Genomic DNA, 24314 nt, shown 5'->3' on the forward strand with positions numbered 1-24314 from the left:
GATTTCTAGAATTGGTACAGCAGTTCAATGATCTCATCCATAACCCAGATCTTAATATTTTTCTGCTCTGTGATCCTCAGCCTGTGGTTTTCTTCCTAAAATGCTCACCTTATTCTTTCTGCAGTAATCATGTCATCACCCAGTTACACTCATTTTGAAAGAAGGGAACTCTAGTCTCTTATCACTGATGGAATAACTTTCCCAGAAGACCCTTAGCAAACTTTCCCTTATATATTTCATTGGCCATTGCACCTGTGGCTGAAAGGGAGGCTGGGAGGGTAAGTGTATTAGTTCGTTCTCACACTGCTAATAAAGACATACCTGAGACTGAGTAATTTATAAAGGGAAAAGGTTTAATGGACTCACAGTTCCACATGGCTGGGGAGGCCTCACAATCCTGGCGAAAGGCAAATGAGGAGCAAAGTCACATCTTACATGGTGGCAGGCAAGAGGGCATGTGCAGGGGAACTTCCATTTATAAAACCATCAGATCTTGTGAGACTTATTCACTACCACGAGAACAGCATGGGGGAAGACACCCTCATGATTCAGTTATCTCCACCCAGCCCCGCCCTTGACATGTGGGGGTTATTACAATTCAAGGTGAGATTTCATGGGGAAAGAACCAGACCATATCAGTTAACATCCACTAAAGGGACATTTGTTTGCCATTTTTGCTTATACAAATTATGTTTCATCTCCTGGGACCGAGCACATTGCTGCCTATACAAAATCAGGATTCTGTTTCTAAGAGAGAAGAGTAGGCAACTAAGGATGTTTACCACAGATTATGATTTCATACACATTATTAAAGGATTTAGAAATTAAATTTGGTGTCTTTTTAATGGTCTCTTAGATGTGCCTACTGCTTCAGTACCTCTGTGACTGCCAGGTCCGGCACCGGATAGAAGCCATTGTAGCCTTTTCAGATGATTTTGTGGCTAAGCTCCAAGACAATCAACGTTTCCGATACAACGAAGTCATGCAAGCCTTAAACATGTCAGCTGCACTCACAGCCAGGAAGACAAAGGAATTTAGATCACCACCTCAAGAACAGGTACAGAAATGAAATGAAAATTCTTCGTATTTATGTTGGCTTTTAGTCATTCAGGATCTCTGCCTTGCAAAATTATATAACTCACACGTCTTGTTTTCCTTGTTCTGTTTAAAGTCTTCAAGTTGATTTAGTTAGTATTCTTAGTTTCACCAAAAGAATTTCTTTGGTTAGTTTACACAAAAGAGGGACTTATTAGAAGATATCAGGTATATCACCGACTCTTTGAGAAGGCCAAGATATGCCAGAGTCTGAAGTTCTTCAAATAGGAGCAAATTTCAACCACAAATGGGTCTTCATCATCTTCCACTCATAGGAATTTTTGATTCCTAGGACTCGATGCTAGAGGCTTTCCATTTGTGCCTACCATAGAAGAAACACATGTCTCTTCCACCTTGCTTGCCGGAAGACTGATTACCTGCTTGTGGTTTCTTCCTTTCATTGCTTACCCCCAAAGTCAGGTCTCCTGAGGGTACAACAGAACAAAGGGAACCTGCCTATATCAGAGAATGGGCTAGTTGGGGGATGTAAATTTTCTGGAATCTACCTCAGAGTGGGCCTCAGAGTGTGGGAAGTTACTGGCGTAGGGATGGTGTTAAACAATGTAATTCACAGATGTCTTTTTTGATTTCTTACCCTTACCATTTTCTTCTCTATCCAGGGTAGCTCAGAATGAAAGTGTTTATAGGGACTAATTACAGAATTTTTTTTTTTCTCACCAGAATGTAATTTCTTTGAGGAAAGGGATGTGGAATTTTCTTAATTGTTATAAACAGCATTTATTGAGCAGAGAACAGGTCCAGCCTCTTCCAGATTAACTCTGTTAAACTACTGTTGGGAAACTTCTGCTTCTGGAAAGATGGAGTACATGTGCTTTTCCCGATTCTTCCTTTTAAGTACAACTAAAACCCTGGACATTACAAAGAAGACAACATAAGAAGGCTCTGAAAGATAGAGAGAAGAAGAGAGGTTGGCTACAGAACTCAGGACCCAAGGAACAACATGGTGGTGAGTTCCCTGGATTTTCTTTTTGCCTCATCTATCCCAGATTTGAAGCTAAAGAAGACGACAACCAGGAAACACCAATGGGCATAGACAAGAAAAGCTGCAACAAAAGCCTCCTCTTTCTAGATAAAGGATCAGGGAAGGGGCAGCTTAGCAAGACAGAAATGTGTTAGATAATAACTGCACTACTGAAGCCAAAAACCACAGAAAAAACTGTTCCCCACCCACACTGGGCACAGGCTGAGTGGGGAACCTTGACTTCCACTCTCACCAGGCTGTAACAAGGTGTCCCAGTAGAGGACAGAGCTGGGACTTTATCCCCGCTGAGTAGTAACAAGGCCCATTTCTTCCAAAGTATCAGTAGAGGTTATGGAAGGAGAAGTAGCAAGACACTCTTACCTTTCTAGCAAGGTTCACATCAGTACAGGTCTAATGAGGAACCAGAACTTTTTACCACTGCCCAACAGTAACAGGGTCCCTTCCCTCCTCCAGATGTCCAAGAAGGCTGAGTGGGAAAATGGACTTCGCCTCCCACCTGGCAGCAATAAGATACCCTAAGCCCTTCTCCTGCTGGATGGGGTCAGAGGAAACCAGGTGAAACAGAGTTAAAAATAAGACCCAGAGCTCCTAGCATAATCCTCAAAATGTTGAGATTTCAATTAAAAATCATGTGTGTGAAGAACCAAGGAAAACTTGAATGAAAAAACCAATCAATAAGCACCAACACTGAGATAACAAAGATGTTAAAATTATCTGATGAAGTTTTGAAAGCAATCGCCCTGTAATTCCTTCAAAATGGAAAAGAAATAGAAAGCCTCAACGGCAGAGAAACAAAATATATGGCAAAGAACCAAATGGAAATTTTAAATCTGAAAAATATAATCACTGAAATTTTAAAACTCAATGAATAGGCTTAAAAGCAGAATGAAGGGAGAAGAAGGAACAATCAGTGAACTGAAGAGAGGGTGATATCAACTACCCCATCTGAAGAAAAGATGAAGATGAATATAACAAAAGATCTAACATTTGTGATGTTGGAGTCTCAGAGGATAGGAGAAAGAGGGTGAACTGAAGAAAATAATGCTGAAAACTTTTCAAGTTCAGTAAAAGATATGAAGTGAGAGATTCAAGAAGATGAGTACATTCCGTATAGGATAAACATAAATCTTTACCGAGACACATCATAGTCAAATTTCTGAAAAAATTAAAGACGGAGTCTTTAAAGAAATGACACTACCTACAGGGGGAGAAACAATTTGAGTGACAGCAGATTTCTCATTAGAAAGTATGGAGGGCAGAAGGAAGTGGCACAGCAATTTTCAAATGCTGAAAGAAGAGACGATCACCTCAGAGTTCTATGTACTTTGAAAATACTCTTAAGGAACGAAGGGGAAATCAAGACATTCTCAAATGACAGGAAGTTGTAAGAATTTGACTACAGCAGACCTACCCTAAAAGAATGCTAAAGGAAGTTCTTTAAATATAAGGAAAATGAAAAATGAAGGAAATTTGGAAAATTCAGAAAGGAAGAAATTAACACTGGGTAATGTTGTAATATGGTGAATGCAGTGCATTTTTATTCTCTGGAGTTTTCTAATTTATGATTGATGGTTGAAGCAAAAATCATAAAACTGATGTGTTTCTAAATATATGTATAGGGAATATTTAAAAATTATAAACAGAGGAGAATAAAGGAACAGAAAGGGAGATAAGGTTTCTATCCTTCACTCAAACTGAAGTCTACTGGTGTTGACATTGTACCATCTGGTGCACCGTCAATACCAGTAGACTGTATGTTAGGTATGTATATAAAATAATACTCAGAGCAAGCACTAGAAAAGCTGTACAAAGAGATACACTGAGAAGTACCACAGATAAAATAGGATTCTAAATATTGTTCAAGTAATGCATAGCATAGCAAGTCAGTAAAAATAAATCAGAACAAACGGAACCACAGGTGAAATGACAGACTGAAGTCATAGCATATCAATAATCTAAATATACCAATTACAAGAAATTGGCAGAGTGAATTTATAAAACTCAATCTAACTATATGCTTGCTATGAGAAACTCACTTCAAATATAATAATGTATACAGATTAAAAGGGAAAAGTTAAAGGAATATGTATTATTAAAATATTAATCAAAATAAAGCAGGAGTAGCTATGTTACATAAAGTTGACTTCAGAGCACAGAAAATTACCAAGGAGATAAGGATCATACATAATGGTCAGTCCACCAAGAAGATAAATATATATGAATTAAACAACAAAGCAAAATATGTGAAGCCAAAACTGATAGAACTGAAAGGAGAAATAGACAAATCCAAAATTATCTTGCAGAATTCAAGACTCCTCTCTCAGTTGATAGAACAGCTGAACAGAAAAATCAGCTATGACACGGAAAAACTCCACACTATCATCAAATAATAGATCTACCAAGGTTTGTAGACTACTCCACCCAACGACAAGGTACACACTCTTTTCAAGTGTTCATGAAACATTTGCTAAGATGGAACATATCCTGGGCCATAAAATAACCTCAAGACATTTTTAAAAGTTGAAATCATACACATTTTTTTATCACATTGTTATCAAATTAGAAAGCAGTAACAGAAAGGTAACTGGAAAATCTCCAAACTCTTAGAGATACTAAACAACACACTTCTAAATAATCTATGGTTTGAGGAAGTATGGGGAGAAATTTAAAGATTCATTAAACTAAAAGAAATTGGACACATCACATTTGAAAATTTTTGCCACAGCTAAAGCAAGGCCAAGAGGGAAATTTCTAACACTCAATGCTTACATTTAAAAAGCGGAAACCACTCAGATCAATAACCTGACCTGCCACTTCAAGAATTTTGAAAACAAAGAGTAAAATAAACCTAAAGCAAGCAGAAAGAAGTCACTAATGTAGATAATAACAGAAAGTAATGAAACTGAAAACAGGACAATAGAAAAAATGGATCCAAAAGCTGGTTTTTAAAAAATAGCAATAAAGTTGACAAACCTCTAAAACAACTGAAAAAGAAAAAGAGAAGATACAAATTACCCATACCAGGAATGAAACTACTTATCATGGCACACCCTGCTGACGTCAGGTGATAACATGGGATTTTTTTCTTCTCACCTTTGAAATAACGATAAGTAGATGAGCTGATGAATATGTTAATTATCTTGATTTAATCTTTCTACAATGTATACATATATCGAAACATCACATGGTACCTCATAAATACATACAATTAATATTTACCAATTAAATATGTTTTAAAGGATCGTATGGGAATACATGCATACATACTATATGATTCCATTTATGTAACATTCTTGCAATGACAAAACCATAGAGATGGAAAACAAATTTGTGGTTGCCACGACTTAAGGATGAGGGGCAGACAGAGGGATGTGGGTGTGCTCATGAAAAGGTAACAGGAGGGATCTTTGAGATAAAGGAATTATCCTCTATTTTGACTGCACTAATGTTGCTATCCTGGTTATGAGATTGTACTACAGTTTTGCAAAGTGTTACCAATCGGGAAACTGCATAAAGCGTACTTGAAGTCTCTCTGTATTATTTCTTACAATAGCATATAAGTCTATAATTATATCAAAATAAACGTTTAGGGAAAAAAAATCACATAAATGCCAAAAAGAAAATCTAAAATAGTTTCTTAAAGGAAAATTATGGGAAAGCATCTTTCTCTTCCGAATTTATAAATTTAATAGTATTGTTCAAACATAAATGGTAAAGTTTCCCGCAGTTTAACTGAACCATTAATGTTAGCAGCGCGTAGTTATCCCTTATAAAGATTAACCATGCCGAATATGAAAATTCAAAACCCAGAATACTCCAAAATCCAAAACATTTTGAGCACTGAAATGATACCACAAGTGGAAAATTCTACACGTAAATACTTAGTACAAAGTTTATTTCATGCACAAAATTATTTAAAATATTTTATAAAATTTCCTTCAGGCTATGTGTGTAAGGTGTGTATGAAACATAGATGAATTTCATTTTTAGACTTGGGTTCTATTCTCAAAATAGCTCATGTGTATGCAGATGGAGCTGGTCCTCTCTATCTGTGGGTTCTGCATCTATGGATTCAACCAACTGTATATTGAAAATATTCAGAAAAATTCCACAAAGTTCCAAAGCACAAAACTTGAATTTGCTGTGCACCAAGTACTATGTCTAATCCACTTAAATGAAGTGATATGTCAGCACTGCCTTGGGTATTATAAGTAATTTAGAGATGATTTAAAATATATGAGAGGATATACATAGGTTATATGCAATTTCTGTGCCATTTCATATAGAAGACTTGATTGTCTGTGGCTTTTCATCTCTATGGAGGGTCCTGGAACCAATACTCCATGGATACTAAAGGATGATTGTATTCCAAACTCTGAAAAAGAAATCCTAGATCTGAAACACTTCCGGCCCCAAGCATTTCAGATAAGGGATACTCAAACCTGTGTTACTTTTCAATTATATTTTTCCTTCTTATTTGTGTCTGTGTTCTTCTCAAAAAGAGTTCTTGTAAATATTCAATGAATGTTCAATAGAGATGTTAGCTAGAAAATAATGGAAATTTAGGATAAGCATGATACAATACTTTTTAAAAATAGCATTTAGATCTCTTAGTTATGAATTCTTAAAGTATACAAGAGTCTGACATATTGTGGACTTGAGAAAGAGGAAGAAACGTTATATGACTATTTTGCAGCTTGTTAAGCTATGGATGATTTGATTTATTCTGCGGTACTGGTTGGATTGTGTGATGGACACCTGTGGAGGAATAATTTATGAACAATCAGAGATTTTGAGCATTTTTGCTTTTGTGGTAGTTGTGCCTTTCTTTGTTTCTTTCTTTCTTTCTTTCTTTCTTTTTTTTTTTTTTTTTTTTTTTTTGAGACAAAGTCTCACTGTGTCGCCGCCCAGGCTGGAGTGTAGTGGCACAATCTCGGCTCACTGCAACCTCCACCTCCCAGGTTCAAACAATTCTACTGCCTCAGCCTCCTGAGTAGCTGGGACTACAGGCATGCACCACCACACCCAACTAATTTTTGTATCTTTAGTAGAGATGGGTTTTCACCATGTTGGCCAGGCTGGTCTCAAAATCCTGACCTCGTGATCTGCCCACCTCAGCCTCCCAGAGTGCTGGGATTACAGGCATGAGCCACTCCGCCCGGCCCTGCTGTGCCATTCTTGAATTCACCTTTCTTTTCTTCCTCCTTCTTCCTCTTTCTTGTTTTTCAAACTTTCAGATCAATATGCTTCTCAATTTTAAGGATGACAAAAGTGAATGTCCATGTCCAGAAGAAATTCGTGACCAACTATTGGATTTCCATGAAGATTTGATGACACATTGTGGTAAGGTCTTTTTGATTAAAAGCTTTTATTAATTGTATGTTTTTAATCCATATATCCTGAGACGAAATTAAGTGTATATGCGAATATTTTCACGAATACACACGATACCTGTTAGAAAGTTATATAAAAACATTTATTATTATGGCAAAATGGCAAAATAACTGTCCCTATGTGGGGAGTCCTGAGGGATAGAGAAATCAGAGAGGCAGTTAAACTGAGCAGAAGATGACCAAAATTCTTTCTCTCTTTTTCCTCTTTCCATTAGTGGCAGGAAATGGGAAGGGGGACATGTGGCCAGGTGCCTCTGGCAGGGAGGTTAAGGTTGGTTTAGTCAATGGGTACAAAGTTTCGGTTATACAAGATGAATGAATTCTGGAGATCCATGGCACAACAGGGTGCTTCTAGTTCACAATACTGTATTGTGCACTTAAAATTCTGTTAAGAGGGTAGATGTCATGTTAAGTATTCTTAAAACAACAACAAACAAACAAAACCCCCCAAAACAAAGAAGTGCTAAGAAACTTAGAGGTGATGGATTTATGTCTGTTCCTGGTGGTGGTGATGGTTTCACAGATGGATGCATGTGTCCAAGCTCATATTGCATAGATAAAATATGTACAGTTTTGTTTATAGTAACCTCAATGAAGCTGTTTTTTCCTCATGTAAGAAAGAAATTTGATCACAAACAGTTGTATTTAAAGCAGTTGAGGGTGTACTTTCTAGAAAATGTAGACTATATCTTTTGAAATTAGTGAATGCCTATGGAAACCCTACATTAAGTTGTTATGTCAGTAATCCAAATCTGTTAAGGGAAGTCTCCCCTCCTTTTATTCTAAGAACTTTAAAAATGGAATTGATTAGGTATTCTGGACGTGTGTGTGTTTTTATTCCTTTATGCAGTGGTGTGGATAAGGTCTGATGATTCAATGAAAGAAAATGAACCAGCTGTTTTTAAAGTTATAGATAAAAATAATGCCACTGGTTTAACCGGTGGTTATCTTATTTTAATGAAGATAATAAAAACACCACTTTGCATATTAATTTGGTTTATGAATGAAGTACCACTAAATGACTCCCAGAAAATTATACTACATGTGTGTGTACATGTATGTGTGTGTATATATATATATTTCTACAAATATCCCTTGTAGAAATGTGTATGTATGTGTGTGTATATATATATTTTTTTTTTTCTACAAGTATCCCTGTATTTCTAGTATCCCTACAAATACAGGGATACTAGAATTCTAGTATCCCTACAAATACAGGGATACTTTAAAACTTTAGAATTACTGCTTCAGATATAAAGCATTCCCTGGTTTAGGGTACCTAATTATGCCTGTTCTCTCTGTTTCTCAACTAACCAAAATACTGCTAAAATTTTTGGAGGCAAGAGAGGAGAATTAAAGTCTGTGGGGCATGGTGTAGGCAGGGCTGGACTGTAAGTCTAGGCAGACAGTATCTGAAGTCCGAGATGCCCAAGGGTTAGCCCAAATAGCAGAATTGATCTTTGCCCCTAAGAGAGTCTTTTTGGTCTCTACTCAGTGTTATATTTTGTTCTGGGTGACAGCCCTGAGCCCACAGGAATAGAACAAAAAGAGAGAGGAAGAAAAGAGGCTGACCAGTGAATGTTATTTATGAGGGCTGGTAAGCAACATTGCTTAACTTAATGTTAGATGTTTTTGACATTGTTCTAAGTTGTGCATGAAAGAAATTACAAGGCCTCAGAATTATTTGCCCAAGTGTATTCTTTAAATATTTTTTTCTGCCTCTCTGTTTTTTTATACTAGGAATTGAGCTGGATGAAGATGGGTCTCTGGATGGAAACAGTGATTTAACAATTAGAGGGCGTCTGCTATCCCTGGTAGAAAAGGTGACATATCTGAAGAAGAAGCAAGCAGAAAAACCAGTTGAGAGTGACTCCAAAAAGTCCTGTAAGCAGTATGAGAGTGCACTGGCAGAATGACCCAACTGCTGACACTTAACTCATCCTTTGAACGAATGTTTTACTGGATGAGCCAGTGAGATAATTGAGTTTGCAACTTCCAAGAATCAGACTCTTAAGTAGATGCCTGTAGCTCCCAGAAATAAACAGCAGCATCAGTCTATGTGTATAGCAACAGACTGAGAGGTAGCAGCATGATAAAGATGGATGGTCTCCATAGAGAACTAGAAATTTAGGTATTTTATCAGAGACCATAAAGAGAAAGTTAAAAGGAAGTATAGTAATTTAGCCTTCATATCTAAATATGAGGTCGATTTTCAAATATTATTGCATCAAATTAAACTTTTTTCTTAAAATTTAAACAGATATTGTCTTTATATTTTGGTTCTGAAATATTTCCTCAACTGTTGTATACTTCTGGTTGATCCATATCCTATTTCAGAATAATAAGCACCCTTGGGCTGTGAGTGCCTTGGGCACAGCACTCTGAGTAGGTCTGAGGGATCCAGCCTACTTTTTACTTCACTTCTAAGACTGTATTGATTTTAAGATGCAGCAATGGTTTGTTAATAGCTTTCCCTGAAATAAAAAAAAATAAACTTACGAAAACTTTTACAGCACTTTTTTTTGACTTACAACAGAAAACCTTTATTCATACAGTTACTTCTAAATTTATTTTTCAGTGTCACAATCACAAATTTGAGTCAAGTTTTCTTTAAAATCAGAGTTCAGTGTTTCTTTCTTTTCTTTTTCTTTTTCTTTTTCTTTTTTTTTTTTTTTTTTTTTTTTTTTTTTTGAGACAGTCTCGCTCCATCACCCAGGCTGGAGTGCAGTGGTGCATTTTCGGCTTACTGCAACCTCTGCTTCCCTGTCTCAGCCTCCTGAGTAGCTGGAATTACAGGCATGCACCAAGACGCCTGATTAGTTTTTATATTTTTAGTAGAGACTGAGTTTTACCATGATGGCCAGGCTGGTGTTGAACTCCTGGTCTCAAGCAATCCATCCACCTCAGATTCCCAAGTGCTGGGATTATAGGAGTGAGCCACTGTGCATGGCCAGAGTTCAACGTTTCTTATGAATCACTTTCTATTATTATCAAGTTTATGATCTTGAGTGGTTAAAATGACAGTGTGGTTTTCAGATATAGGGGAATATATTGGCATTTTATTTGCATTTTGTATTTGGTTAAAAATGGTAGTTTTTGTTTTTGCTTAAATAATTTCTAGATGAAAGTAAAACAGCCTAATTTGAAAGTCAGCCAGCATATTAATACTAGGATTAAGTGCCTCATCGTGCATAAATTGGTCACCCCACTTAATTTTGGTAATTTCACTGTTTATTTGAAAAGATTTGGACTTTTCTATTGCTTTTACATTTACTATGTTTCATGTTACATTGCAAAGTAATTTTCTGTGTATGTAGTAACTTTTCGCTTTAATATAAATTCACAATCAAATCCTTTTGAAGACATTTTAAATGACAAATATGGATACAACTTTAAGTGAAAACATAATTATACGTAGTCACTAGTGCAAATGACTCAACTGAGGAGACAGTTGGATAAGCATACCTTTTTGAATGTCCGTGACCGAACTTTATAAGGATAAATGATGTCAGGCCTTCTGGGAAGAAAATAATAGAACAAAACAAATAAAAGTAGTAGGACACCTTATATTAATTGCCATACCTTCAATTACATATGAATTGCCAATGGTAATTTTGAAAAAGTGATATAACTGTAGCTTATTTAATTATAAGAATGATTTTTAAAGAAAGGTTTGTGTTTTTTATCTTTGCATGATTGTAACTGATCTGTATTGAAATATGTATCATCCAATGAAGGTTATTTTCTTCAAAGAATATCTAGAGCCTTTTCAAGCCTGGTACAAATAGAAATACCAATTTGGGGGTACAGGATATGGACTTGAAATGTCCAACTGATTTGTCTTCTCTTATTTTTCTTTTAAAAAATATCCATAATGACTTTGCAGCCACTCTGCAGCAGCTGATTTCTGAGACCATGGTCCGATGGGCTCAGGAGTCTGTCATTGAAGACCCCGAGCTGGTGAGGGCCATGTTTGTGTTGCTCCATCGGCAGTATGACGGCATTGGGGGTCTTGTTCGGGCCCTGCCAAAGACCTACACGATAAATGGTGTGTCCGTGGAGGACACCATCAACCTGCTGGCATCCCTTGGTCAGATTCGGTCCCTGCTGAGTGTGAGAATGGGCAAAGAAGAAGAGAAGCTCATGATTCGTGGATTAGGGTAAATTATTTAACTACTACAACCCTTTGTCTCGTAAATGTTTTCTAATTGTTATACCTATAGAGCAGTACATTAACTACATTGATAAAAATATATTGTCTGGATTATACGATTATTATACTAAATAGCTTTTCTTTTTTTTATTTATTATTATCATACTTTAAGTTTTATGGTACATGTGCACAATGTGCAGGTTAGTTACATATGTATACATGTGCCATGCTGGTGCGCTGCACCCACTAACTCGTCATTTAGCATTAGGTATATCTCCTAATGCTATCCCTCCCCCCTCCCCCCACCCCACAACAGTCCCCAGAGTCTGATGTTCCCCTTCCTGTGTCCATGTGTTCACATTGTTCAATTCCCACCTATGAGTGAGAATATGCGGTGTTTGGTTTTTTGTTCTTGCGATAGTTTACTGAGAATGATGATTTCCAATTTCATCCATGTCCCTACAAAGGACATGAACTCATCATTTTTTATGGCTGCATAGTATTCCATGGTGTATATGTGCCACATTTTAGAGATAGAAACAAAAGCTAAGTTAGAAAGTTGCTCAGTAATGAAACAAGACTAATTTTACAGTGTGGCACACAGCCAATATCTTTCAGTGTTTTTTTTTAAGTCTCATAGTAATGTACAATAATATATAAAAACATAGGACAGTAAAAACACATTGATCCATAGGTCTGTGTGGTGTTTAATACATTAAAAAAATAAAAAAACACATTGAAATCCAAGGTGGGTAGTTGGAAATATGAACAGGAAATGATAAGGAAGCTTGTCTTTATCTATTGGGCCTTGGAAAAAGAAGGGGTAGGGGGAACAAATTTTCTGAGAATTCAGCATCATGAGCTTGCATTTCATGTGGATTTGGGGGTTAAAGTTAACACCCCATATTCAAGAGTGAGGATAAAACAAAGATATTTCAGAATATTTACTTACAGTCCCTCATTGGAAGACCTTCTAAAATTTTTATGCTAAATGTTAATATATACATTAGGGAGAAGAAAACGGAATTCAGAGAAAAAGAATGGGATGCAACACGTTTTTTTGAGTATACTACTGATTTATACATGTATAAATCTAAGCAATCATTAATAATAAGCTTATATAGTTCGGGGATTTGAAAATAAGATGGAAAAATTGCCTATTGAGTAGTGTTCGCTACTCAGGTGATGGTACAACCAAAGCCCAGGCTGTTTTTTTGTGGTACAGCAAAAGCCCAGGCTCCACCACGACACAATATATGCACGCAGGAAATCTGTATTTGCACCCCCTAAATATTTAAAATATTTTTAAAAATAATTAAAGAAAAAATAAGATGGAATCAAAATCATAACAAAGATAAAAATTATATTAAGCTCTATGATGTTCATTAAGAACAATACCTAAACATAAAAATGTAGAATTCTGGAAGATAGGATGTTAAACAGTGATTAGAAGACAAATATTTAGCAGAAAAAAAAGCTGATGTAGTTACATAGATATCAGGCAAAAGAGGAGATAATAAAGGTAACTGCTACATGAATAAAATAGACCAAAAGAAACAATAAAATTGATCAAAGAAACTTAGAGTTAATTCTTTGAAAAAAACGAATAAAATGGAATACCAAGTTTTTCTTTGACAGAACTCAAATACAATCCTGAGGGAAGAAAACAAGTGTATAATGATACAGACTGTTTCATATCATTTCTATACATTTTAACTCAGAAAACAATATTGCATATTGCTCATGGACCTATTAAGTATTTAAAATTATAAAAATGGATGAAAGGTTCTATTAAAAATTCATAATTGTTGCACACTAAAAATAAATATACTAATGGGACAGAGAGGGAAAGCAAAAAAGCCAATTGAGAAAAGCAAATATTAGAGTCTTTATAATTGTATGAGCATAGGTCTTATTTGAGTACTAATATTTAAATCTAACCCGAGGAAGCCTCTCATAAGAGGTTATCTTAATTAACCAAATGAAAAAGAAAGCCTTCCAGAAAATGGAGATCATATTCTTTCTTAACACACAACAGTAATATGTGCCATTAAAAAGTAAATCATTCATTAGTGATAAAACTCAAAATGATGTTAAAAAGCAAAATGCTTCTTTTTGTGGTATTCAAAATATTTAACACAGAGAGATTCTTAGTAAATGACAGCCTGACTGCTATTTAATTTACCTAAAACTAAAAGCAAATGAGATTTTAAAATCAAGTTACTTCATTCAAAGATTTGAATTAATGAGACAATAAAAAGAAAAAGCTGCCCTTGTTTACCTTAGTTTGTTCTGGCATGAAATAAGTCAGACCCATATTAGCCTTGGGCATCAAGTTTTTTTTCTGACCTATGCTATCTAAAAGCCCTGTTCATTAAAAATAATAAATGCAAAAATCATACTATCCCACTTTCTTGATATAGCCAGAGTAACTAAAGTTTTGCATATGACTAAATGAATAGGTGAGTAATTCAGTTAAAGGAAACTAATTTGAAGAGAAGTTTCAATTTTCTCATAGGCTGTATGTTCTATTCTTGCTCTAGATCTAACAAGAAAATGTTTTATAGAAAAGACTCTTGGCATCGATTTGATTTATGTTAAAATAGAAATCAACAGAGCTCTTTATTTGCAGTGAATGATACTTTCTCCTGAACATTATGACCCTTAGGAATACCTTGACACACATATTACAAGAATATGTAATGCAGTAATGATAATACGAGACATTTTAGGTATCACCTAACACCGTTTCTTGAAACTGGATGTCCGTTTTAATGAGTTAGATTACTTGTACCTGGACTTCATGTATACTCAGTTTCTCTTGGAGAATATGAATCCTTTTAAGTATTTGTCAGAATGATAATATGAATGCAATAAGAAATAACACTATTGTAATAATATACACAAATACTGAATGTAATACTAACAACAGCATATATAAATACTAGCAACAGCATATATATGAAAAGCAGAGATACTTATATATGAAGAATTTTTATATAAACATGGTATAACACTAATTCATATTTTTATCCAGAAGAAGGTTGGACACATGGTTGGATATCCATAAAATTAGGAATGATGTGTCCAAAGTATATTTCATTTTAACTGTTTACATTTTTACTATGTTTATTACAATGGAAAAGAATAGACATTCGTCAACCAATTTTGGTAAATTATCAATATTTTTGAGGAAAACAATTACATTCATTAATTTTTGTGGCTTATTAAATACTGTGATTGCTTTTACTTTTCAACTCACATAAATTATTTCTAAAAGATTTATGAGGAACTTGGTTAACTATTTAGATGTTGCTCTGAGCTTTACCCCATACGTCCATTGTCCTTTCTAGGGATATTATGAATAACAAAGTGTTTTACCAGCACCCTAATCTCATGAGGGCACTGGGGATGCACGAGACTGTGATGGAGGTCATGGTGAACGTCCTTGGAGGTGGAGAGTCCAAGGTAACGTCTTTGATTCCTGAGATGCTATTTAGTATCATCTCCTGGAGTATATAGATTGATATAGAATGCAGATTTTTTTTTTTTTTTTTTTTTTTTTTTTTTTTGGAGACAGAGGCTCACTCTGTCGCCCAGGCTGGAGTGCAGTGCACGATCTCGGCTCACTGCAAGCTCCGCCTCCCGGGTTCACGCCATTCTCCTGCCTCAGCCTCCCGAGGAGCTGGGATTAGAGGCGCCCGCCACCTCGCCCGGCTAATTTTTTTGTGTTTTTAGTAGAGACGGGGTTTCACTGTGTTAGCCAGGATGGTCTCGATCTCCTGACCTCGTGATCCGCCCGCCTTGGCCTCCCCTCCCGAAGTGCTGGGATTACAGGCGTGAGCCACCGCGCCCAGCCCAGATTGTAGATTCTTAATGAGAATTTCTTAAATCCTCTTAGGATGACTGTTTTTAAAGAAGACTTTTTGAAAAAAACACACAAACCTTAGGGAGTTGAACGTACTACTAGTTTTTTTTTCCTTGATTTTGATAAAAATTTCCTGTCTTATACTGTGTAATTTTTGGCCTCCTAAATTATTCTCTTTTAGGGGATATTTAGAAACTGAAGTATCTCATTTAGGGGATATTTAGAAACTTAGAAACATAAAAATTACTCTATGTGTTAATTTATTTTAAAATTTTGAATTATAATTCAGTTCTCATCACGTTACCAGTCCATGGCACAAGCATGTTCTTCAGACTCCACCATCCTCCATGACACAGACATTGGTTGGTTTCACTTAATTTCCAATCCAGATTGAGATTTGATGATAATACTCTTGGATGTATTTGTTGTAGAATTCTAAAGTGAATTCTTTTTTTTTTTTTTTTTTTTTTTGAGACGGAGTCTCAGTCTCTTGCCCAGGCTGGAGTGCAGTGGCGTGATCTCAGCTCACTGCAACCTCCGCCTCCCAGGTTCACTACATTCTCCTTCCTCAGCCTGCCGAGTGGCTGGGACTACAGGCGCCCACCACCATTCCCTGCTAATTTTTTTGGTATTTTTAGTAGAAATGGGGTTTCGCCATGTTAGCCAGGATGGTCTTGATCTCCTGACCTCATGATCTTCCTGCCTTGGCCTCCCAAAGTGCTGGGATTACAGGCGTGAGCCACCACACTGGGCCTAAAGTGAACTTTTAAGTGACCACAACTTAATGGTATCAAAAACCAAATTAGTAGAATAGTATAATAAAAAAAAACTTTATATAATCAGTATAATTTTATAACCTCTGATATGAAAATATGTTTTGATATTTTAAATCTTAGGATGTATTTTTCACAATACTGAAATAAGCCCATATTTCATATGATCAGTCTGTTTACCAGTTAGACAGGCTTAGAAGGATATCATAATATACTGTACTTTATTACAGAAGAACTCCAGAGAGTATCTGGGGTAAACTATGATAATATTTGGTCTCAAGGAAGATGTGTTTGGTGGGGTCAAACATGCAGGCCTTCCAGTCCAGGAAATCATCTCATGAGGTGCAAATCAGGGAGGTTGTAAATCCCTGGAATCAGTAATTCTACTAATATTAATACTGATAAGAACATCCTATTATATGTGCCACGTACTGAACTATATATTTTTCAGAAATCAGCTCAATGAATTCACTCCCCTGCCCCTTACCTAAAGCAAGTATTATTATCCATATTATTCTAACAGAATCAAAGAGATTGCATCATTTCCCATGGAAGCACAGCTGATAGCGGTAGTGAGGCATCACAAATGAATCTGCCTTTCACCTTTGAGAATGCAGTAATAAGTCAATTTCTGTTCTAACCCATCCATGGTAATGAAGTTTCTGAATTAGTGCCAGGCTTGATTTTCATTGACTCAGGGACGAGGCAAATCGTAGTCTGCACATTTGAAGATCTTTGGTATCTGAAGTTTGGCACACACATGGACACACGGGGATTGACGATGTGATTGAGACCTCAACGTATGAACTCAATTTTATAAAGGTCGTTTGCTTTCAGCAGCTAATGACATGCTTTATCTGTAGGAAATCACCTTTCCCAAGATGGTGGCCAACTGTTGCCGTTTTCTCTGTTACTTCTGTCGTATAAGTAGGCAGAATCAAAAAGCTATGTTTGATCATCTCAGTTATTTACTGGAAAACAGCAGTGTTGGTCTTGGTAAGTAAATGACTTTTATTTCATCTTTAAGGTTGAAATAATATAATATTACATTTAAAAAGCAAACGTTTTGTTAAAAAATGTGCAATGGACCTGAATAGACATTTCACAAAAGAAGACAGATAGTTGGCCAATAGGTATATGAAAAAATACTCGACATCACTCATCATCAGCAAAGTGCAAATTGAAACCACAGTGAGCTATCACCTCACACCTGTTAGAATGCCTATTATTGAAAAGACAAAACATAATAAGTGTTGGCGAGGGTGTGGGGAAAAGGGAACCCTTATACATGTTGGTGGGAATGTAAACACAGCCATTTTAGAAAACATTAAGGAGATTCCTCAAAAAATTAAAAATAGAACTACCATATGATCTAACAGTTTTACTTCTGGGTATATATATCCAAGGGAAATGAATAATCAGTATGTCGAAGAGATACGTGTACTTCCATGGTCATTGCAGCATTATTCACAATAGCTGAGATATGGAATCAACCTAAGTGTTCATCAGTGGATGAATGGATAGGAAAAATGTGGTACATATTCACAATGGAATGCTGTTTGGCCTTAAAAAAAGAGGGAATCCTGTCATTTTCAACAACATGGATGAACCTGGAGGATATTACATTACATGAAATAAGCTACGTGTAGAAAGACAAAAACCACATGATCTCACTTTCATGTGGACTCTAAAATCAAAGTCGAACTCATAGAAACAGAGAGTAGAATGAGGTTACCAGGTGTAGGGGGGAGTGGTTGGGGAGATGTTCAAGGATACAAAATTTCAGTTAGATAGAAGGAATAAGTTCAAAAGCTCTATTATACAGCATGGTGACTATAGTTAATAACAATGTATAATATTCTTGAAAATCGCTGCCAGAGTAGATTTTGAGTGTTTTCACCACACAAAAGTGTATGTGAGGTAATATGTATGTTAACTAGCTCAATTGAGTCATTCCACAAAGTATACATATATTTCAAAACATGTACACAATATATACAATTTTTATTTGTCAATTCAAAATACGTAAAATTAAACTTTAATGTAAATCAATGTAGATTAATACACTATGGATGGTGTTTAGAAATTAAATTTTAAGAGGTAGTATATTTTTGTATGGAGTTTATAGTTACAGCACGATCCAGGTTATATTTCATCTTCATTTGAATTAATAGCCTCCCCAGCTATGAGAGGTTCAACACCACTGGATGTGGCTGCAGCTTCGGTGATGGATAATAATGAACTAGCATTAGCTCTGCGTGAGCCGGATCTAGAAAAGGTGAGCAATGTTCCTGCCCTGTGTGTTTGTCTGAATTATGCTTTTTCACGGTTTTCTCAATATTTTAAATATAAGTAAGGTTGGTGCAGAAGTCATTGTGGTTTTGCAATGTGACATTATGGCCAAAACCGCAATTAATTTTGCACCAACACAATATGTTCTAGTGCTATTAGAATTAAAGTACATTATAATTTACATTGCACACTATATAATGTTATATATTACATTGTATATAATTCTACTATACATTATATTGTAGTTAGAAGTTATGAAGAACAATACATTTGAAAAAATGAATTTTCTCTGATGAGAAACATTTTTCTATGGAAGGAGAACCAACGTTCTGTATCTGTATTCTTATGTGTTTTTTTCTTTTCGTGATATCTGCTGCCACTTTTGACTTAATCATACACTTCAGTTTTTAAAAAGGTTATTTTGACATCTCATATGTACATTTTATATCACATATACTTTATTCCAGCACAAAGCATCAGCGATATAGTAAAGCCGTGCACTCTAAGGATACTAAGCCACACATGTGTATTACCAGCATTTAGAGAAACTTTCCCTGTATTGTAGTTGCAATAGCATTCCAAGTAGTCACCTGATTTTTTTTCCTTGCTCACCTGGCATCTGTTCTTCCCTTATCAGCCAAAGTGACCCTCTTAAAAAGATCATGCCAATCCTCCATCCAGTACTCCCCAAAGGCTTTCTATCTCACTCCCAGTAAAAATCAAAGATGTTGCAATAGCTCCTACATCATCTGTTCCTACATACCAGCCTGATTTCATCTCCTACAGCTTTCCCGCACTCTCTCTTCTTTGCTTCAGCCACCCTTGTCCCCTTGCTGTAGCTGGAACACGCCAACTGTGCTCAGCCTCAGGGCCTCTGCACCTGCTAGTCCAACCATCTGCAGTATCCTTACCCAAGATACCATCGTGGCTCTTTGTAGGCATTCTTTCAGTCAATGCTCCAAAGTCACCCTCTTGATCAGCTCTTCCACATCCATGCTGTGTAAAACTGAAACCTTTTCTCCACTTCCTTAAACTCTTCCTGTTTCCTTTACTGCTTTATTTTCAACTATTGGAAATGTAAATATTTGTATATTCTGTACACAAATATATACTTTCATTTTATTTATATTTATAGAAACTTATATTTTAAATATATATTAAGATAATTGTATGTAAAATAAATATATTTAATCAAACTCTATGTAGTTATGTATTTTTAAAAATTCATCCCCTACTATAATGTCAAGCCAGGGAGGTCAGAGTGGTTTTTCCTCTGTTGTTAACTGCTTTGTCCTGCCTTTAGAGAACAGTGTCAGCACTGGGTAGACACTTAGTGCATGGCTGTTGAAGACATGAAAGAGTGAAACTCTTCCCCAAATCCTCCTGACATACCAGTCCAGGATCATGAAGTCTTGCATCTCTGAGACACCTCAGGACATGTTTCCCCCGTATAGTACTTAAAATCTTTTAATCTACACACTCATTAAAATGGCCAATACTAATGCAGTTGATAATACCAAATGCTGAGAAGGACAAGGAGCAGCTAGAACTCTCTTCTACTTCTGTTGTGATGAGTAATGGTACAGCCAGTGTGGAAAGCAGTTTGGCAGTTCCTTAACAAATTAAACATACACCTACCATAAACTATATGCCTAGCCTTTCCACTGCTAACAATTTACCCAGTAGAAAGGAAAATATATGTCCACACAAAGACTTGGGCATGAATGTTTCTAACAGCTTTATTCGTCATAGCCAAAAAGTGCAAACAACTTGAATACCGACCATCAATGTATTAGTTGATAAATAACACTGTGATATACCCATATACGGTGAAATGTCATCCCACAATAAAAAAGAATGAATTGCTGACATATGCTACAGTGTGAATGAATCCCAAAATCATATGCTGAGCGAAAGAAGCCAGGCACAGAAAGATATATGCTGCATGGTTATGTGTACAAGTGTCCTAGAAAATGCAAGCTAAATTGTAGTGAGAGAAAACCGATTGTCTGGGACTAGGTGTGTGGGGAGAAAGGGACTGCAAAGGGCCCAGGGAGCTCTGAGGAGTGACGGCCATGTTCTGCGTCTTGATTATGGTGTGTTCTCACAGATGTCTACATCTCTCAAAGCTCATTGAATTTATACTTCAAAGAGATGAGTTTATTGCACATTGGTTCTCTTGCTTCACTATAGTTGATATAAAACATTTTTAGCTATATTATTATTTATATTTGAAACTGATTTAACTTAAGCTGGATATAACTCAATTTGCTTGATAAGTTGCTCCTCTGTCAGTCTTACTTCCATTGATAATGACTTTTCTAAGGATTTCTTTTAAAATTGAATTTCTTGTGAAATATTGTAGAGGACTAACATTCGTATAAAACAAAAATATTTTAAGAGGAAAGGCCAGGCAAAAATATGTTATGTGCTAATTTCATCAATACTGAAAAGTGGGTCATCTTATCAAAAATTTCCTGAACACTGAAACCTTGGCTAAAAAAGTAAAAGTAACTGCTCAAAATAAGGTGTTTGCTAAATGCTGTGTGTCTGATTTGAACCAAGGATGTTTGACTGTGATCTTAGGTTTTTCTCTACGTATTTTCTCACACCTGCTTCCCCATTAAATTGATATATCATTTTGGAAACAATTTCTCTTTAAAATATCTTTGCATCTCATATAGATCTTTTAATATCTTGAGTGGATTCAGTTTTTACATTGCACCAGAGGTCATTAGACATGTTTGCAATTTATGACTTTGATAGATAAGGGTCTCAAGTTAAATGCTATTAAATTCAGAAACATTCTTCTTTCGTAGTTTTACACATAATCCTGCAGCTCTTGGCCCACCCAGACAGACTTGGTTGCCCTGTCTGACAAGGAATTGCGGGTGGATTTATACAGCAGGCACTGTGGGTGATTGTGGGTAGATGAAAACAGAAGGCACCGCGGGCTGAGGCTGCTGCTTTATTGTCTCCAAAGTGTTTAAGGAGATGGTGCAAATAAAACAGCAACTGGTTCTAGTCCGTGAGTCTTGAGCCCTGGGCAGATATGTTTGTGGCATTTATTAAAAAGAATGTCTGCTTAGAGAGAGCTGAAAAAAAAAAAGCTTATAGTAGGATCATAAATATTTTTATTATGATGCCATTTTATGACGATATTTAAATATTTCTAAAGTCTAAGGTTTTACTAAAGGGAGTTCAAGTAGATTATCATGAGAGCAAAAAGAATTTGCAAAAATGCATTTGTTTAAAAGCATCCTTTAAGGATGTCATTTATTGTATCCAATGTAAGCATCTAATGAGTTTTCAGCCAAGGGATAACTCTTTGTTAATCATGTTGTTTGCAGGTAGTTCGTTATTTGGCTGGTTGTGGACTGCAAAGTTGCCAGATGCTGGTGTCTAAGGGCTATCCAGACATTGGGTGGAACCCAGTTGAAGGAGAGAGATATCTTGACTTTCTTAGATTTGCTGTCTTCTGTAATGGTAGGACTTGATTTCTTGAGGTCTTTTGAGTTATCATTAAAACTGCATAGAGATATAATAAGGATTCATCTCAGCACTTTCATGAAGGAAGTATTAGTAAAGAAATCACATATTTTATAATCGATAGGGGTTTTTCACAGTAACCACTTATAATACAATATTTGTTTACATACTTCTTTCCTTATTTAAATTAAAATTTTTAGGCATCTAAGTTCTCCTAAATTTTTTATTTTGAATTCTAATAATAGTTTGGATTATGACATCATTCTATAATAATAACAAGTTAGTGAGAATCAATAGTTTATGCCTCCATAATGCTTTACTCTGAAAATTTTTAATGCAAGCAAAATTTACTGTGTCTCATATACTTAATGCTAGCAATTAGGATTACATTTTGGCTTTATTAGTATATTGTTGGGTTTTAGTTATTCTTATACATAGGAAATGATTAGTATAACATTTATTTGTTCAGAACTTCCATATAATCATATTTGTTTACTTATCTTCCCCATTCTACTTTAGGGGAGAGTGTGGAGGAAAATGCAAATGTCGTGGTGAGATTGCTCATTCGGAGGCCTGAGTGTTTTGGTCCTGCTTTGAGAGGAGAAGGTGGGAATGGGCTTCTTGCAGCAATGGAAGAAGCCATCAAAATCGCCGAGGATCCTTCCCGAGATGGTCCCTCACCAAATAGCGGATCCAGTAAAACACTGTAGGTCTAATATACACACCCTCACGAGTGATCCATACTACTTGATGTGAAATTTTATAAAATATATTCTGCATCCTATGAATTGTAATATAACTTGTGGTACAGAAGATTTCTCCCTTTGAAAATATAATGTCTTAGATTTGGAAGAATGAATGGAATTTGGTGCTGGAATAGGTCGAATGAACAAAGAGAGCTGAAGAAGATGGTGTAGATTTAGCAGAGGGAAATTTAGGTTGTAGAAGATGCATCTTATGAATTTTCCTAGGGGAGCTAGGGCAAGGTGGGTTGTTGTAAATGATACGAAGTGAACCTTTGGGGTTAGACTGGAGTTTAGTGGGAAGGTAGTTAGAATGAGATTTTATGATTAGAAAGAGACCTTTCGCAAATGAAAGGGGGACTTGACTAAACTGTTATGGTGGTAAAACCTAGAAAAGGTTTCATTCTGAGGAGTGTGATGCTTTGTTGAGGTACAGAAGACAGATACGAGAAGCAGTCACTATCTTACATTTATCTGTAGGTATACGTTGTTAATACTAGAGTCCAGTCATCGACATAAGTAAATCCAGGTGTGATGCTTATCTGTGTAGGTGAATGTCCTCCAGCGGGGTCATGCATCCACACTGCTAGTGCCTCTGGTAAAGATGTAACATAGGGCTTTATTGAGGCACATTTCTAAAGAAAAAAAAGAGTTAGAGGGCACGCAATCCTGCAAACCCTTTGTCTTTTACATATAAACTGGGCATAGATGTTCCATGTACACCATAGCCGGATTTGCAGACTGGGAGCACTCCTAGAGCAAGAATGAGCACTCCCCACCACACACACACACACCATGCTACATGCTTATCAGTTTCCCATGAAGGAACCAGGGAGCTCTTAGGTTCTCTCAGTAGTAGAAAATGTATCCAGAGACCTCTGGCCCAGGACCACACTAGCAAGGGTACACCTGAGGGCCTCACGGACACCCTTGCATGCCCAGGAATGAGGCTGTCATTCAAAGCCTCACTGTCACTCTGCAGACTGCTGTATTCAGTGGAGACAGCTGTCTGCTGAGTTACCAAGGAGGGAGGATGTGAGCCTCTAGGGCCATCCAGATTTGGCTCTCATCAGCAAGAGAACATGTAATTATATTTTCCCTGCAGAGATGGGGAGGGAGATATGTTGAGATATGTTGGATTCTTTGGCAGGGGTTGCAGGAGGTTGAGTAGTTGGTACAGAGGTAGGTGAGCAAGTGCAATAACATTTATAAAGTACTTGCTCTGGGCAAGCACTGTACTGGATGCCTTACATGTGACCTTGTATGCCATCTTTGTCACCCTTTCTCTACATGTGTGCCACTTACAGAAATAGTCTAAGCTCACACGTCCTTTGATCAGTTATTTTCTTTGTTAATGCACTCACTACCACTAGGAAGGAAAAGAAGCCATCAAATAAGCAGTTCCTCCTTTTCCCCTCAAAGGAATCTTAATACTAAAATTTCCACAGATGTGTTCTTGGTGTTAGAATCTCAAGTCTGATCTTTAACCAGTTGTTATTCTCCCT

At 36.3% G+C, this 24314-nt stretch overlaps 1 protein-coding gene across 18 annotated transcripts in view; it reads left to right on the top strand.

The window, feature by feature from the left end:
- Positions 1-24314, top strand: part of RYR2 (ryanodine receptor 2) — a 791805-nt gene that overhangs the window by 574246 nt on the left and 193245 nt on the right. For all 18 annotated transcript variants that reach the window (XR_007062490.1, XR_002957299.2, XM_006711802.4 and 15 more), the window contains 9 exons: positions 857-1057; positions 7336-7441; positions 9232-9375; positions 11378-11651; positions 14998-15112; positions 17149-17281; positions 18460-18563; positions 21928-22063; positions 22586-22772. Coding sequence is in view for 16 of the 18 variants with exons in the window: in XM_006711802.4 (XP_006711865.1) it covers positions 857-1057; positions 7336-7441; positions 9232-9375; positions 11378-11651; positions 14998-15112; positions 17149-17281; positions 18460-18563; positions 21928-22063; positions 22586-22772 (1400 nt within the window). In the remaining 2 variants the exon portion in view is untranslated. The remainder of the gene's footprint in view (positions 1-856; positions 1058-7335; positions 7442-9231; positions 9376-11377; positions 11652-14997; positions 15113-17148; positions 17282-18459; positions 18564-21927; positions 22064-22585; positions 22773-24314) is intronic.

The sequence above is a fragment of the Homo sapiens genome, chromosome 1, assembly GCF_000001405.40.
Source record: "Homo sapiens chromosome 1, GRCh38.p14 Primary Assembly".
NCBI lineage: Eukaryota > Metazoa > Chordata > Mammalia > Primates > Hominidae > Homo > Homo sapiens.